The sequence below is a fragment of the Homo sapiens genome, chromosome 5 (assembly GCF_000001405.40).
Source record: "Homo sapiens chromosome 5, GRCh38.p14 Primary Assembly".
In the NCBI taxonomy this organism is placed as follows: Eukaryota; Metazoa; Chordata; class Mammalia; order Primates; family Hominidae; genus Homo; species Homo sapiens.
Window position 1 is genome coordinate 170,253,109 of NC_000005.10, and position 18,485 is coordinate 170,271,593.

The 18,485-nt window shown below is 43.8% G+C and overlaps 1 protein-coding gene across 2 annotated transcripts in view; it reads right to left on the minus strand.

Annotated features, from left to right (window-relative positions):
• The window catches only part of LCP2 (lymphocyte cytosolic protein 2), a 51,545-nt gene that overhangs the window by 6,876 nt on the left and 26,184 nt on the right, over positions 1–18,485 (minus strand). Inside the window, exons 7-18 of one of the 2 annotated variants that reach the window (NM_005565.5) lie at positions 17,611–17,809; positions 15,277–15,374; positions 13,901–13,967; positions 13,700–13,783; positions 9,859–9,884; positions 9,734–9,753; positions 9,527–9,634; positions 7,999–8,029; positions 5,758–5,770; positions 4,929–5,058; positions 3,418–3,467; positions 11–105 (exon numbers count right to left, since the gene is read on the minus strand). In NM_005565.5, coding sequence (NP_005556.1) covers positions 11–105; positions 3,418–3,467; positions 4,929–5,058; positions 5,758–5,770; positions 7,999–8,029; positions 9,527–9,634; positions 9,734–9,753; positions 9,859–9,884; positions 13,700–13,783; positions 13,901–13,967; positions 15,277–15,374; positions 17,611–17,809 — 921 coding nt within the window. The remainder of the gene's footprint in view (positions 1–10; positions 106–3,417; positions 3,468–4,928; positions 5,059–5,757; positions 5,771–7,998; positions 8,030–9,526; positions 9,635–9,733; positions 9,754–9,858; positions 9,885–13,699; positions 13,784–13,900; positions 13,968–15,276; positions 15,375–17,610; positions 17,810–18,485) is intronic. The other variant, XM_047417171.1, reaches the window with a different exon arrangement.

Sequence of the window (18,485 nt, forward strand, 5' to 3'; positions counted from 1 at the left end):
GCTCTCTTACCTCTTCCTCCGCGGGGGATGGGGGCCGAGGTTTGTTTGGAAGTGGCAAGGGGAAGTTTCTGCCTTCGGCTCTGATAGGTGGTCTGTTGCTAGGGCCTTCAAAAGTATAGAATTCTGACAGTTAATTTACTGTAAGCTATTGTTTGCTGCTATCAAAACACAAAACACATTCCCCCCACTCCCCCAAAAAAATACCCTTGCGATTGGTCCTATAGTTCGCATTTTAAGAAACAAGGGCTTCAAAAATAATTTTCATCTGTTTGAAACCATGGGGGCTGCTCAGGCATTATTCTGTAATCATGCCAGTAAAACTTTGAGAAGAGAACCTCAACTTTGAGTGATTTTTCTAAATGTGCATGTTACATAATATAAAGTGACTAGATCCCTTTATAAAAAAATTCGCAATTGTTTTAATGAATGTGAACGTCAAAATGAATGCTCAAGAGACAAATTTTTCATAGATTCTTATAATATCATCATAGGCAGAATGGATTCCCAACAGCTGATGTAGGGACAATGCAATGATGAAGATAATTATGTTCTTAATGTTTCCACAAAAAGAAATGTAAGTGACCCAAGAGAAGACAAAATTACCTTGAGAATATTGCTAGCTTTTAGAATCAAAGTTGGCTACCCGCTGTTCTAACTAAACAGGTAGACTGTTCAACTCACATAGAAGGCACTACAGATCAGGAAGTTTTTACTGGGCAACTATTAATTACCCAGTGCTTGTGCCTCATCTTCTCTAAAACTCTTTTTTCTCATTTACAGTTCCTTGAAACTTTAGGAGAATGTTTCCTAATCTCAGGAAAGGTTTAGTTGTGTTTATTGCAGTTGCCCAGGGTATTTTCTATGTGCCAGGCTGTGGTTAAAAACAGAAAAATTCTGTGAGTCAAATGTTCTCTTAATTATTTAACCATCATTCATTCATACCTTCAACAAATATTTATTCAGCACAACTCTGTCCAGATCTTGAGTAAGGTATCGTGTGTACATTTTTTTTAATCCTCACAGCAACATTACAAGGTAGGTATTGTCTTCATTTTGCATATGGGGAAATACAGGCTCAGAGGCTAAGCAAATCATGCGCTATCAGTGGCAAAGCCAAAACTTAAACCTGTGGTTACCAAATGCTACTGTGCATGAGTCAGAATCCCTGGGCGACTTGCGAGCACCTGGGGCTCAGAAATCTGCATGTTAGCAAGTACTTCCGGTGGTTCTACACCACGGATTGTCACTACGTCTACCTTGTTACACCACTGAGGAGAGGAGAGTCACCTGTAAGGGCTAAAGCCTCCTGAGCCGCATCATCAAGATTATTTATGATGGTCCTTCCCTGTTTTTAAACAAGTCTCCTGAGCCACATCAACAGGATTGTTTAAGATGCTCCTTCCCTGTTTCTAAACAAGCTGGCCCTGAGCTGCCAGTGCCTTCCTTCTCCAAGTTCCCAGTGCCTAGACAGATCTTCCCCATCCCCATTTTTTTTGCAGTCCAACACTTGCACTTTTATAATGCTTGTTGAATGAATGAAACCTAACAATACAGGAGAGTAACAGAACCAAGGCCCGCATTGCATGGCCATTCTACAGTTAAGAAATGATTCTCTTTCTGCCTCTGCACCTGCAGGCCAGCATCATAGAGTTCTAAGTTACAACAGAGAAGCACATACACTTTTTTATTGCAGTCACCTACCACCCTTAATATCTAGACTCTCAAGGGAGTCATGACAGGTTTTTGGGCAATGCACAGCACAAACTTTATCCTTCTGATGTTGGAACAACCAGTAGAACCAGTAGAGAAGACCGAGGACCAGGTGTCCTGGCAGTCTTAGGGGAAAAGAGATCAATTTGGATCAAGCTAATGTTCCAAAAATAATTAACTATTTGCATTAATAAGCCCCATCACAGACTCATAAAACTGGAGATCTGTGGAACTTGCTTTGGAAAATAATGCTGTGATGTGTCTGGGACTCAGATGGCTACAGAGGCAAGGAGGTAACACAAATGTGTGTTTGCAAAACACAGAGAATTTTGGGGATTGTGGAAAATTAGGGGTTGGGCGAGAAACTGTGAAAACCATGTGGTGAACGTGGACACCACCATAACCTCAAATGCTTAGAAAACATTGAAAACTTAGTGGGTGCCACTGGCGTCAGCAGTGGGATCTCGCCCCTCTATGGAATGATGCATCCAACTGAATACCCTAGATGTGTTCTTGGAAAAAATGTTGATTCTCAGGCTATCAACTCACATTTACTAACATAGTTTTCTACTGAACACACACTGGCCCGTGCACACACTGCATGTGGAACATGACTGCAAAAAAAGTGGCTTTTCTGTTGTCATTCTTCACAGCATTTTTTAAAAATTTAAGTCAACATTTAAAAATTAAATAATTTCACTTTTCTTGAGAAAAAAATTGGAAAATCTGGCAATGCTAAGCCAGTTTCCTGGAATGCTACTTACTAGAGTTGGGTAACTTTCCCTAGTCATTTGATGCTCATTCGACAAGCATTTTTAAAGTGCCTACCAAGTGCCTGTCACTTGCAAGTCTTTAAGGATAAAAAGCACAAATTAGTCCTGCCCCAGTGCCTTTCAAAGTGGTTCATGAACCAGCAGTCACAGCATCGCATGGAATATGTTAGAAATTCAGAAACTCAGGCCTCACCCCAGACCTCCTGAATTAGAATCTGCATGTTAACACAATTCCCAGGTGATCTATATGCACTTTCAAGTTGCAGAACACTCTAAGCGAATACTAATCATGGACGTCCAGAGGTGGTATTATTAAAAACACAGGTCCCTGACTTCACTCCGGACTTACTGAATCAGAATCTGTGACGTTAAGTTCTCTTAGTTTGTATTTTGAACATGCTCCCCAACTCACAACCATGGACAGATTGATCATGGAAATCTAAAACTGCAGAGAAAGGCAAACAGGATTCTGAGGATTCCGTAGGGAAACCGGAGCTGGAGGAATAGTTCTGCACAGGAAGATTGGGGATGAGGGCTGGCTTCCTGGTGAAGTGTGTGTAGGTGTGTCCATGTATGTATGTGTGTATGCATGTGCATGTGTGTGCATGTATTGTGTATGTGTATATATGTGTATACCTGTGTGCACATGTATATATGTGTACATGTGTATGCATGTGTGTGTGTGCATGTATATGTGCATGTGTGTATGGGCATGTATATGTATACGTGTGTGTGTATGTGTTGTGTTTTAGGTACTATCCTATCATTCCGACAGCCCTTGGCACACTGCAGACACGGAATTAAATGTTGAATGAGGAAATCAGATGCTTTTAGGAAACAATAAAACCTTTGTCGAAAGCTTTTGGGACAGGTTAGGGATCCAGTCATAAAGGCTTGATGGCTGAAGCACGTCACAAAAGCCCAGAGTACAAACCTTGAGAGAAGTATGGTGGCAGGGAGGCACTCTGTGGAAAACTGCTGTTACTGAGGAGACAGAAAAAGAACAAAATTTATTTGGATTGGGGTGATGGGGCCAGACAGGGGAGCTGGGTTAGGGAAGCCAGGCTGCAAATGCTTCTTGATTTGGTATCACTTTCCCTGCTGCCCCCAAAACCATGGGGGCTGGGCACAGGGACAGAACACAGCACACAGGGAATGGAACTACATTCCGCTGTGGACCATGCCAAAGTCTAACAAGCTTTATAAAGCAGAACAGCAACAACATTCAACTGTGTAAAGGGCACTTAACAGTTACTTTAAAAATTGGCTGCAACTTGAGCTCTTTGAGTTGGGAGAATACAGAAGTCCTCTTCTCAGAAGACTTCCCTTTTGCTAGGAAATTATATTAATGGGCTTGTCTTTGGTGAGCAGTGAATCCCCAGGGCTTAGGGTCTGCAAGGAGAGAGTAAGCCAGGTGAGAAGGGAAGTGCATGTTAGGTGGGCTCTGCAGCAGACGGTGATAGCATTTGCAGGGCTGGGGTGGGGAGGCGGGCCCAGAGGGCCCTGAAATGCAGTCTGTTCCCTCCACACTGAGCAGCAACTCCTGCACCCATCAGTCTAAACCTTTGGGAAAAGTCTGCTCTGCACAGCAACCTTGTGTGAGTGGGATTTTGTGCAAATGAAGGATGGGGTTGGGGCTAGCATGGAGGAAAGCAGCAGGAGGGTCAGCAGACAAGGGCAGCAGATGCCAGCGGGAAGAGGGAGAAGAGCAGCAGAAACTCAGGGCCAGAGGGTCCCAGGGCAGAGGAAACATTGTGAGAATCCTGCTAGGAGTTGGTGGGGGTAGATGAGTCTTGTGGGTGGTTGAGTTTTCTACAATATTAGGGAAGGATCTTGGCTTCTCTCCTTGAATATTAAGGGAGAAGGTAAGCCTACAGGGCTGGAGGACTTGGGGGACACCACAGGCTGCCCGTGGGCTTGTTTGGGGACAATGACTGGGCCTTTCTCCTGTTCATGCATCTGCCCCTGGGCGGCCTCATACCAGCCCTGAGAAACACAGCTGCTACTGAGAAAACAGGGGGACAGAGACTGCAATGAATTCCTAGCATCAGCCAAGCACGAGGCGCATTTTCTCAGTCTCCCCAACTAAGATGCAGATGAACTTCAAGTACTTAGACTAACTGGGTTTCTTAATTATTGTTGTTTGTTTGAACTCATAAAGTGAAAATATTCTTTGTTTTCTACCAAAAGGCCCATTCTATCTGGAGGGATCAAGGAGGAAGTCAATTCCTCACCCCTCTCACCTCAAGCAGAGACTCAGAGGACACTGGTGGATTAACATATCGTTCTTAATGCTCAGTTTGGTTTTATGTCTTAAGACCCAAAATGTTCAGACCCTACTATCTACCCGTCATTTCCTTCTTTCTCAATCTGCCTGGCATTACTTCAGTACTGGATGGACCTAAACATTATATTAAGCTAGAATTTCATGACAGAGCTACAAACCTTTCTGAGAATGCTCCAGGCATGTGAGAGGATGGGAGAGGGTTCATGGGACTTGGCTTAGTAGATCTTGAAGGGAAAGTGTTGGAGCTCATAGGAAGTAGTGCTGGCTGGGGCAAAGGTCTCTGATGCACTGTGCAGAAGTAGAAAACAATGAATGAGATTGGCAGGCCCCAGCTGTCACTAAGAAACATTCCATAACCGCCCCCCAGTTAGAAACAGCTAGTATAAAGAGGACACAAAAATAAAGCAGATCAGATGTAATTAGGAAGTAGTAGGATGGAACCTTGCTCCCAGGGTGTTTCTAGATGACTTAACCACCATAGAATCCATTTACAAAGGGGCGCAGATCTAGATGATACTCTAAAATACACATTGATTTTGTTTTTCATTTTTGAAATGTTAACTTGGCAGAAAATTGTCAGCTGGAAACCTTATAAATTTCAGAAATGATTTACAAGTTTTGTTTTATGAAAGTCAAAATTTTATGCTATCTCATTCATTGGCAGTTACTGATTCTTTACCCACGTGTGTTAGAAGACATAAATGTGAGAAATGTTTCCATCAAACCATGCATGCAATTTTACATTTTGTGATACAATTAAATAATCTGCACTGTTACACATGAATTTAGTCTTCTTCGGTAATCTAACCAAGTAATCCATTTTACGATAGTTATGCAGTATGCCAATTGACATAAGTCTACTTAATACTAATTTAAGACTTATAATTGATTCTATGGGGTTCCTGTACTAAACAATTCCACTTGAATGCCTGAGCAGGAAAATGAAAGAATGAGTTATAGGCTGTAAGAATGTGTTTCCGAACATACCATCATCTTCATCCTGGGAAGGGGAAGAAAAAAAAAGATATTAAGCTATCATCAAAATACAATTCTTAAAATAAAAACTGCATTTCTCAATCAAATAAATCAAATAGGTATCTGTTTCTTTCTCTGGCAGTTATACATCTTCATAATAAATATACTGTGGAGAATAATAGAAGTTGCTAAGTGTTTTACAATTTCTTAATACAAACAGTCATCTAAGGGCATTCCAGTATGAGACTCTCCTCATATACTCAGCATGAAATAGATTCTGAGGTGCCTAAAAGGGCCCAAAGATGTAATAATATTGACAATATCTACAATGTGTCCAAAAGATTCATACACAAGATTTCATTCAGTTCCCCTAGTGACCCCCCAAAAATTTAACATCCTCATTTTACAAAAGCATGATGCTGAGGAAGCTTCCTTAGCTTGCCAGGAGTTGCAGAGATGGATTCAACCCCAAATATGTCTGACCAAAGCTCAGTCTTCTTTTTGGCTCTCTTTTGCAATGGCCACTCTTCTTAAGATCAATAAGACCATATTTATACGGTGGCTTACAAGGTTCATCTACAACCCTCACCATTTTTATCTTCAGAGCAACCTTGGGAAATTAGACAAGGGAGGGGCTATTTTCTCTTCCACTCAGATAAGAAATGAGGTTCAAAGAGAAAAAATGATGTTGCCACCAACTAGTAGACCAAAAGGGCCAGCTTGAACTTGTTTGGTTAGGCCAGATCTGTAATGATGAAACAGCATCTTTCTCAAAGTGTTGTTAGAAGGATTAAATTAGCTACTACTTGTGTCTGGCTTATGTTAAGTGCTCTTTAATAAAAGTTTGCCATCATCAATCCTATCACACACTGAGAGAAGGCGAAAAAGGCCACAGTCAAAATCATTCATCCCAGTTGGCCAACTGGGAGTCCCAGCAAAGAGCTGCATAAATAAACACACATGGGCTCATAAACCCCACACAACAAAATCACTTTTCAATACTTTTGCAAGTATATTCCCTCTGGTTCCAGAAAACACAACTCCCAGATTCTCATGAGCACAAGTGTCAATCCTTCCAGAGACAGGGAACCTGGAATGTGATGTTATCCTCACTGTCCAGCCTTACCTCTGCCTTGTTCCTATCTCTGCAGCCAAGCCACTGTTCTCACTGTCCCTGCAGCCTCCGTGGGCACTGGTATCCACCTGCTCAGGACACTCCTGAGGGGAATCCCCATGGGCTTTCTTTAAGAATGACTCTATTCTGTGTCCTCCCTATCATTGAATGACCAGCATAAATCTCACCTCCTCTAGGAAGTCACTGCTGGCTCCTTGAGCCACATGGCACACTTTCTTCCCTCAGCCCCACAGAGCATCCCGTGATTGCATGCTGTCTGGCATGAGGGGTTGTGAGTGTGCCTGCCTCCATAAGATCTCAGCACTTCATCGGAACAAGCACAGCATCTAGCACAGAGCTGCAAAAATAGCAGGCGCTTTTGGGCTGAGCCCTTGAATGACAGCAGGGGTCTGATGGCCTTCAGAGGGCTTATGGTGTAGAGAAACTCAGCAGATCTGGGTTCAGATCCTGGCTCTTTATAAGCATGCAATTTGCAAAGAGTATCTTATTCCTTCTGAGCCTCAATTTCCTCTCCGTAAAAGAGAAAAGATGTTTCCTTATGGGTTCATTATACTCATATGTAAAGCGAGAAATACTCAACTATCCTGGTTTTCCTAGGATGGAGATAGTTCTTGGGACAGGGGACTTTTCAGTGCTAAAACTGACAGCATCCCTCGCAAACAGGGACAACTGGTCATATTTAACTGGCATGGCAATGTGCATATGGTAAGCATTCAAGAAATGCTATTTCCCCTCTTTTTCAGGTTGTGGAAGTATTGAAAAGGAAAACAGTAGCCTTGGAAATTTAGGCATGGTCCAAACTTCTGGCCTTCCCTTACTTTATCCTCTTTTTCTCCTTGTGCCCTGTAATTACCGGCCCCTGGTAATGGAGCTGCAATTAAGCCAGCCACTCTGGGAGCTCTTAGAGGGACATGAGCTAAACAACACAGCATGATGGGCTCCAGACAATGACCAAGGCCCAAAGACAGAGGCACCAGCCCTTAAGAGACGAGACCCCTGGGTGCAGGACCTGCTCCAGGTTCTGGGCCAAGGCCAAGGTGGATGGAGTCCCAACCTCCTAAGAGCCTATGCTTCTTTTCCCTGTATCAAGCACTTACAAACTGACATTTTGTACTTACATTCTCTCTTCTGTCTGGTCCCCATCCATGCCTGAAATGAATTAGGGCAAATAAAAAGAACTGAGCATGAAGAGTTTCAAAGAGCCAGCCTTAGAATACAGTTTTGCTTCATTGAATAATGAGAAATCGAACCCACTGAGCCTAGGGAAGATGGGAAGCAACAGACCCCCACAGAGCAGGGGAGAGGGGGTGGAAGGGAGATCTGGTTACTCCATGTTCTGCCATCATTGCAAGCTGAGCTAGGCAAACCTTTGTTCTGCATAACTAATGCAGCAAATAATTATGTGTGTGTGTGTGTGTGTATATATATATATATACACACTCTATATGTATATGTACACACACACTATATGTATATACACACACACACACACACACATGTGGTTTAGTCAGCAAACTAACTCTTTAGTAGCTATTAAATTTTACTGAGCTGTTGTTTTTCCCAAGAAATGAAAACATTTTAGGTAATATTCTCCCTTGCTCTTGCTTTAAAACAGCCCTCTCAGGGCCCACCTTGGTGTAAAGAGAAGACAATTAGAAAATGTTGCTGCTTTGGGACTATTCCAAAGGGGGCTTGGTACACTTTGCCCAGATGAATGAGCTAGTCAAACAGACTTGGGGACAGCTGCCTTAGGGCTGCGACAGGCATCTGCACTGCCTGGGCCGTATAATGTCCTCTCTGGGGAGAAGGGGAAGAGCTGGACAATTTGTTGAACACCTCCTGTGTGTCAGACGCTTCACACATCATCATCTCATTCTGTGTTTATTTAAAATTTTGGAATTTTGTTCCTTATGAGTTTGCTGCATTTATTTTGATTTTTTAAAAACATTACTCTAAAATGTTATCAAACTCCATTACTGAGGAGGTTTTTTGGCACACTTTAGCCCTGGTCCTAATTTAATCCTCACAACAGCCAAGCAAGGGTGATAGTTATGACCCCTGATTCACAAATGAGATGGAAGCTTTGGTTGTATTCTTTGCAAGTAGCAAGGTTGGCCTTAACCCCAGGTACATGCGCGCCATTTGGTAAATAGGCTGAAAACTACTTCACAGCAAAGTTAAAAATACTAAGGCAGAGCTCAGTATTCTGCAATTATCAAATGTGGTTGAGCAGTAAGGAAGACACTTGCGGTGACCTGAAAAACCTCCCCCAACCATTTCCTGTCTGCTACCTGTATTGAAAAATAAAATGGTGAGTACAGTTCCTATGCACTGTGAAGGCTTTGCTATAACGAGGTTGGAAAACTCAATGAAATATTTGACTGGAATCTCTAAAAACAGCAGTCACCCCTTACTCTTGATTAGATGTCACTCTACTCATTTCTCAGTAGAGTCCATTTCCTTCAAAGAGACCCTGATCCTTCATAGCCAACCTGTGAAGCCTGAACATCCCTCAAGCCACAGCAAGAAAAGGCCCACCCTGCCCGGGAGCACCGAGGAGCCTCGGTTCCCACTGCAGAGTCAGCACAGGGCAGCCTGTCTGCCGGCCACTGTGAGTGACAAGCTCAAGCAACACCAGACAATTACTTTGGCACAGGTGGCTTCTTCCCTGGCAGGGGGCTGCTCCTTTCATGTCTTTCCGTGGTCGGTGGTAAAGGAGGCTTTTGAATCTTGGGTAAATGCTCCCCGAGTGACCTGTGGAGTTCAGGAAAAGGATGTGTAAGAAACAAACTTTGCCGAGGCAGAGTTCTACAGAACGTCCCATGTACCCTCATGTAGATGCAACAGTCTTACCTTCCCGCTGGAATCGAGGGCTGCAAGACAGGAGGAAAAATGTATGAGTGTCCAAGCACTTTTCAAAGAATAAGGACAAGATGTGAAACAAACAAACACAACCAAAAAACAAGTTCACAGCTTACCTTGTCAGAAAATGGTGGTTTCTTTCCTGTAAATGACAGAGAGCAGATGGGCCATGAGTTCAGAACTTCATAAGCATGAGGTTTAAAAACACAGTTTGATGAAACTATGAGTCTGAACCCTCTTGGGGGTTGATGGGGTTTAAGCATTAAAGAATCAGAAACTTCAGACTAGGAAGGGTCCGTTAGAGACCACCAAATTTTATAAGCTCAGAGAAATTAAATGGCTTGACCATTTAATTTGAAGGTCACACAGCTTTGTGTACATACAAGTAGTGTTGTGGATTCTGTGCTTTTTTTAAATAAAATCACATTTTCTTTTATATAACTGATGATCAAAAGGATTAATGTTTCCTTGGGATTTTATGCCTCTTTAATTGGCCAAAGTATTTCTTCTGCAGCCTAAGTTTTATTTTTATATCTGAAATAAATCCACTTGCCACGGAGAGGGTAACTTTTATCCAATTCTGTGAAACACTTGATATTAAATGAAGCACTCCACTTAGTTTCTGAAGAAACTTTTCACTTGGGGAGAGCATTTCAGGAGACTCTCCTGGTATGCTGCAAATCTTTTTTGTCTGCTTGTTTTTAGTTAGTATTGTTTGTTTTGCTTTTCTTCTAGAACGGATGATATTCAGGCTCCCTGAAGAAATGCCAGGTGTACTTGATAATTGTGCATCACAAAGTTATTCAAAGTAATTTAATTTGTATTCTATCTAAAGTCCCCTAGAATAAATATGCCCTTTGTCTTCAATGTGATGAAAATATTACTAACAAAATTCAACCAGGTCTAGAAGCAAATCCCACATGACCAAGAACAAGTTATTTAAGGTTTTTGAATCCCAATGTTATCATCTCAAAATGAAGATTATAGACTAAAACTCTATAGGTTTGCCATAAGAATTGGGTGACAATTTGCATGCAGGATCAGGCACTTGATTGTGAAAGTTGGTCATACAAATTGGGAATTTTATCACCTCCAAGGAAAACAGAGTCGAGAAGCCAGAGGGAAAAGCACTCAGGACACATAACATTGCTCCAGAAATGTGATTCTATGTGAGGTTGGCTGTTGTAACCTGAAACCAGTTTCATCTAGTAGTTGCTGAAATAATCTGCTGCAACTCGAAGATTAATTTTGCCCTCTGCCATTGCTCACCAATCAAAACTTGCCAGCCCCCAGAACCGATGAACTTTCTCAAGGAGCGATATTGTAACACTTCTCCTTTTTATAAAACCTCCAATCTTCTTTTTGTTCTTCAGACATACTGAAGACCCTGAAGACCAATTGCCCCAAATTGCAATTCTTTCTTCCTAAATAAAACAAATTTAGAGATTTTCTTCTACGTTTTTATTTTGACTTTGATATGGTCCATGTGGGCTGACAATTGTTAGTTAACTCGCCTTTCTTTCCCTTCCTTCCACACCCAGGCACAGTTAGTGCCCTATGGCGAATGGTGATATTATCTCCCTGGAGTTGTATTTTCACAACGTGATTTATTCTTTAAGGACCAAGTACATGCCAGGCCCATGATAAGAATATTGCCTCACTGTGAAGAGCTTACTGACACTGAGTGTGGTGGCTCATGCCTGCTGGGAGGCCAAGACAGGAGAATCACTTGAGGCCAGGAGTTCAAGATCAGCCTGGTGAACACAGGGAAATCCCAGTCTCTACAGTATATTTAAAAATTAGCCAGGCATGGGGACATGCACCTGTAACCTCAGCCCCTTGGGAGGCTGGAGAAGAAGGATTGCTTGACCCGAGGAGTTTGAGGCCGTAACGAGCTATGATGCTGTCACTGCACTCCAGCCTAGGTGACAGAGTGAGACCCTGACTCAAAAAAAACTAAAAATAAAAAAATAAAAATAAAAAGGAGCTTGCTGGTAATGGGGAGAGTTTTGACGGTATAAAAGATGCTTATAAAAGTTTGGTTTGGGGTGGAACCTCTACTTTAGAGGGGCACCCAGGAAACTTAAATTTATATTCTTTGGCCTGAATAAGTATTTCAAAATTTGCCTTTTTTTTTTTTTTTTTTTTTTTTTTTGAGACAGAGTCTCGCTCTGTCGCCCAGGCTGGAGTGCAGTGGCATGATCTCAGCTCACTGCAAGCTCTGCCTCCCAGGTTCACGCCATTCTCCTGCCTCAGCCTCTTGAGTAGCTGGGACTGCAGGTGCCCACCACCATGCCTGGTTAATTTTTTGTATTTTTAATAGAGACGGGGTTTCACCGTGTTAGCCAGGATGGTCTCCATCTCCTGACGTTGTGATCTGCCCGCCTCAGCCTCCCAAAGTGCTGGGATTACAGGCATGAGCCACCATGCCCAGCAAAATTTGCCAATTTTTGCATATTCTCTGAGCATGTTAAAAGTCTCAGGTGGGGTGTAAACATTTTAAGAAGACAGTAATCCTTCCAAAACATCACAGAAAACGGACTAATTCAAGGGTAAAACAGAAATTGTCAGAAAAGTGTGTCATTTAAAAATGCTTTTAAATATAGAAAAAAAGAATATTTTAAAAGAATAACTTTTGTGTCAGGAGGTGATTGCGAAGGATTTGATGTCAGTGTTCCACTTTTCTGATGTCTCGGCTCGTGGTAGTGAGCAGGGTTGGAATCTGAAGTCAAATCTATCTTCATTTCCATGTAATTATACAGCTCTCTACAGCAGACAATTCCAAGCCAAACCAGCCAGCACAGCTTTGCATGACACAGCAGAGCTGTGATGTAGTTCGGGGAAAGAGCAGCGAGCAGCAGCCTCATATCCAAGAACTGAAAGTCATTTTGTTGACAGACAAAAAGGGATTGAGGCCACAGAAAGCTAAATGCCTTGCTCAGAGCATAGCCAAGAAAGGGGTGGGGGCAGCTGGGATTCTGGGCTCCTTTCCGTTCAGTTGCAGAGTTCCTTCCTCAGACTCATGTAGTTCACAGCAAGTTAAAACCCAGGGTCCTCAACTGCAGCCTGATATGGTGGAAAAGAGCCCCCACTTAGAAGTCAGAAAGACAAGTGTTCGAATTTAGGCAAATTTAGGCAAATTATTCAACTTCTTTGACCCTTAATTTTATCATCTGAGAAGTGAGGTTAAAAATGCACCTCCTTTGTTGAGTTGCTGTGAGGATTAGAGATACTGTAGGTGTATTTGTGGTAGGTAGAGCACTTGCCCCATAGCAGTTGCTCAATAAATGGTAGCTAAGAATTGAATTGAAAATAGCTGCACGTGAAGGTAACTGCAATCCAAGAATATTCTGCGTAAATTGTGAAGAAAAAGCACTGTGGTATACCCAATGTTTGGTCAATTGCATACCTAAAACAAAAACATCCCTGACATTTGAATAGCACCTTAGGGATTTATAAAGCATTTTCTATGTACAGAACATCCACCTTACAGATTAGGAGACTGAGCTCTGAAAAACTAACATCCCTGTGGTCTGTGAGCTATTAAGTAGCAGGCAAGGCAGCAGACAACAGCTCCCCCAACCCTTTTGTCTCAATTCAGGTCCTCTCTCTGTACCCTAAAGCCTCTTGGCTGAAGGACAATGGGATTTGTATACACAGATCATCCACATCACATAGAGAAGCAGCACAGCCCCCAGAAGCTGCAAGCAGGAGCTTTCTAATGAGGCTGATATGGGCTTTGGTCGCTACTCCCAACACTTGGTAGCTGTGTGATCTTGGGAAGGTACCTCTTTGTGTCTCCGTTTCCTTATCTGTAAAATGAGGATGATTCTACTAGTCTCCACTTCCTAGTATTGTGGCCATAGTTAAATGAGATGGTACATGTGAAACGTATGCAGGAAGCACTTTATAACAGCTTATCATTATTACTATGCATTAAATGTGAATCATACCCACCTAGTGTGAAGGGTTCTCTATCAAACGGAGCTAATGAACGATCTAGGGGAGGTTTCGTGCTTCTGTCTATTGAAGGAGCAGGGACTGGAAGGGGAAAAGGCTGACATCAATTAAAAGAAGAAAGCAGTCGGCTGGGGGTTGGGCGGGGCTAGGGGAGTGCCTGGTGGGAACAGGGCAAGAGAGAGCAGCCCTTGTACTCACGCTTTGCCGTTTTGTGGTTTCTGCTTCTGCTGGGTTCTTCGTGGTTGGTCTGGGGTGGGGGCAGTGGCTGCATAAAGATCCAAACGTTAGGAAGCACTTCCAATACATCAGCAAGAGCCGGCACTCCCAAAACCTGTCTGGATCTGCTCACTTTTCCTCATCTTCATGTTCTGCCTACAAACATCCATGTCCATTTCTTCACTGAACTACCGCAGTAGCCTCCTATCTGAGCTCCCTGTTCTAGACTCTGCCACGCAAGCTCTTTTCTGCAGGCAGCAGAGTGAGCATGTCACTTTCCTGCTAAGCCTCCTATCACATTAGAAACAAAATTGAAACTCGTTAATGTCCTGCGAGGCCCTGCCTGAGCTGGCCCATGTCTGCCCTCTCAACTCTTTCCTGTGATCCCTTCTCAGTACTCATGGGGTCCCTACCATAGAATCTTCTTGCAGTTCCTGGAAAATCTCAAGGTTATGCCCTCTTTGGCATCCCTACACTTGTTTCCTTCTGCCTAGAACGTTCTTCTCCCGGCTCTTCCCACAACTGGCTCATTCTGTCCCAGGTCCTTGTCACCTCCCCCCCCCATACCGTCATGTTACCTGGTCTTCCGTCCCCCGAACCACACATAACTACTCAAATGATCTCTTTCAGACATCTGTCTACCGTCTGATAACTAGCCCTAGTTGAGTTTTATGAAAGCAGGGACCTTATTTATCTTGTTCACACTTTATCCCCAACGCCTAGAACTCTGCTTGGCACATAGTAGCTGCTCAGACAATATTTGCTGATTAAATAAGTGAATCCTGCATCTCAAAAGAAGGTCTTCAAATCTCAAAAGCAATATACATCTGTAGATAAACTTGTGAAGGGAACACATTCCTAACTATCAAGTCCTTAGTCTGAGCTTCTCAGGGTCACTCTGGGAACTTATCAGATTCACAAGGACCGGGCTGTATGCTCGAAGAAGGAGAAAACGGGGTTTGCTACCTCTGTCTCCTCCGGTCTGAAGGCTCCTGTCCTTGGAATTTCAGGTGTCGGCCAGAAGGTGGCGCAAGTCTTTTTGCAGGAGAGAGGAAGGCTCGGTACCCAGGCAACACCAGTAGGTGCCACGGACTTAATTCGGTTCTCTTTGGGTTTATTTTACAGTTTTCACTTCTCTCAAATAGTGGGAAGTAAATAAAAACCACCAGTATTTTACCCCAAAAAAGAAACACGTGTGAATGCTTGGGTTTGCCTTTCCCCAGCCGAGGGAAAAGATTATAATCTTTTCTTACAAAATTAGAATGAGATAAAGATGTTTATAGTTTTATTTTTCTCTCTGGCGGAGGAAATAACTGCAGTGGACACCAAGTACTGTAAAAGAACGGGAGGAGGCCTACCGAGTGATTCCGGCCGGCTGGTGGGGGCGGGAGGGCGGCCATCGGTCTCTGGGGGGGCACAGGAGGCTGCTGGGGGGTTTTCCCAGAGGGGGGCCGGTCTGTGGAAACACAAGGTTATTAAAGTGAAAGGGGAGTATCGGCCAAGCTCAGGGGTCTCCAGGAACAGATATGCAGCTCGGGGCACCGGGGGTGCATGATCCTTGACCCCCAGGCCCACATGAGCCCCAGCCACGGGGAGACCCAGCCTGGATCTCACCCACCCCTCCCTGCCCATTTTTTCTGTCCTAGTTTGTGTCACTCTCCTTATACACAGGCTCAGCTTTCTTTGCATTTCACAGGAATAGGTATTTATCAGAGATTTTGCCAATCAAGAAAGGCCTCTTTGTAACCAGCTCAGCCAGAACTGGAAGGGAGGATTTTCAGACAATTTTGTAAGAAGTAAACATACGCATACCTCTGTATGCAGACACACAGATATACACATGTGCACACATGCATGCACACACATGCATATATATGCACACACCTGCATACACAGAGACACGAGTGCACACAGACACACACACATGCCAAAAATCTCACAGGCACACCCAGCTGCCTGTGCAGGGTGAAGTCAGCTCTCACTGCCATAGGGATCTTGTTCTGTCTGCCCTTCCTTCCCCTCTCCAGTGTCCTGGGCTATCTCCTCCCTGACACTTCCTCATTTTGCTCATCTCTTCCCATAAAGGGAGGAGCTGATCACCAACTTCTGTTACCAGACCACAGACTCTTAAGTGGAAGCTAGATTTGCCTCGAGCAGAAACTCACATTATCTGGGCAGAAACTCACATTATCCACATCTCCACGGAAGTGTCCCTAGGCCAGGTTGACAGGCTGGCAATTTCCTACCCCTTTGACAGGGAAAGGCCAGGACAAGACCATCAAGCAAGAGGGGTGAGTGGGTAGGGCCTCCTTACGCTTTGTGCCCTGGGTGCCTCTCTTGCCCGACTCTAGTCCCAGCCTTGGGGAGGTGCAGCTCTTCCACAGGGAAAAGGGTAGGAGCAAGGCCCAGCCTGATCTAATTCCACCCTGCTCCACCCGCACTGGCCATCTCTCAGCTTCTCTAATAGGCCATGCTCCTTTGAGCCTCAGGGCCTTTGCACAGCCATTTCTACTGCTCCAAATGTTCTTCCCTTACCACATCCATTTCCACTTGGCCAACTTGTATTTATCCTTTAACCTTGGTTTAATATCACAGCTTAAAGATACACCCTCAGGCAAACGCTCCAGCCTCATCTGTGCTTGTCTTCGTGCCTCTGTATCACGGTTTCACCAAGTAACCTCATGGCTCATTTGTTGGAGGGTGCGTCACCTGCCAGACTGTCAGTCCCTTGGCGAGGGCTGTCTTATTCACTCTGTATCTTAATGACTGGCACACACAAGGCACTCAACAACTGACTCATCCATTGCTTTTCCGGACCTCCACTTCCCTGTATATGAAACAGACTTGATCATGGTTGTCCTTATTACACAGATGTTTAAAAACCACCATGAGATATTGAGACAGCATTTTGTGAAAGGGCTTTAAAATGGAAATGGGTTATACCGCATAAAGGATTAAATGGTATTCGTTTTTTGTGGTACTGACCTTCAATTTTCAGCGTACTCTCTGAAAGTATATTATTTAAGAATATATTTGTTTATTTTCTGTCAACACCACTACTAGAATGTAAGCCCCAGGAGGCAGGGGCTATTTCTTCTTTCCTGATCATTTCTAAGCACTGAGAATGGGGCCTGGGCTCCCAGCAGATCAACAATGTTTGTTGAATGAATGGAGAGAGAAGTGGGCTAAAAGGACAGATAGACAATAAAAATCGTAAACACCATCTAATATTTTTTAAAGTTATAGTCAAACCCTACTCAATATCTTCATGTTTATTCTAGCATAATAATGCCATGTAACTATAATTTGGTCAAAAGATGGGGAGGAACAGGAAAGTACTCTTGGAGTACCTGAGTAAACTGCAGAATGAGTTGAAACTGCCAAATAGCCTTAGGTGGTAGTTCAATGCTGATATCAGCCACCATAGGCAAGAATTGGTTGCAGTCTTAGTAGTCCTCACAGGAAACCTATGTGGTCTGTACATTTATTATCCTATTTCACAGATGAGGAAATTGAGGCCCAGAGAGACAGAGTTACTTGTACAAAGCCACATAGCTGTTAAGAAGCCGAGCAGATATCGAGACCCAGAGCTTTCTGCTACATGGGCAAGCTGGGGCATCAGCCTTCCATGCAGCAGTGGCGAGCTTGCCTTTGGGCTGCTCGGGCCAGAAAATCCGGAAACGGGCCCTTACCGATGTACATGGAGTTGGAGTTGGGGAAAGGCTTGGCAGGCAGGATGGAGTTCTGCAGAGCTTCCTCGTCATTGGAGGGTGGCGGCTCATAATCCGCGTCATCTTCCACGGGTGCCTCTTCCTCCTCATTGGGGGACTCATAGTCTCCATCATCCTCCCCATCCTGGTCATCATTGGGACTTTCATAATCGTCTTCTTCCTGCCCACACAGTGATAGGGACAGTGCAGTTTGTAGAGGCTCTGTGGCCCTCGATGTGCCTGTGCCTACTCTCTCCCTGCCAAGCCTCACAACAGTATAACCCGGGACCAGGCAGCCTGAAGATGGTTACTCCCATTTTACAGATGAGGAATCTGAGGTCAGGGAGCACTGTACCACAGGGGCAGCAAGTCATGGACTTGAGACCTTGGTGAAGGTCTTCGGACCACCTTTTTACACAACACCTTTCTGCACAACAGAGAGAGAAGAAAGGGGAAGGATGCTGGAATAGAAGGTACCGGAATAGGCTCTGTCTTGAGTAAACACATTTTTTGCTCCAGGCATCACCATGAGAAAGACTAAAGGCCTGGAGCATTTGTGATGATACTAGTTAATTGCCATTTCTGTTCAAGGGTGCCTGTGCTCAAAAAATGTCCTCTCATTATAACCTGGTGCAGCGTTGAAGGCCCGGCTAAGGGGAAAAACAGATAAACAAAGCCTGTTAAGTGGAAGGCAGATTAAGTTGTGTCGAGGAGGGGACCGTCAGAGGCTGTGCTGTTCTTTTTGCTGAAAGTTGAGTGTATCAACACATCCATTATTCATGAAATCTGACACTGAGTTTGAAGCTGTTCTCTTGGAAAGAATCTCTAAATTTTAGATTTTTTATTGTATTTTATTT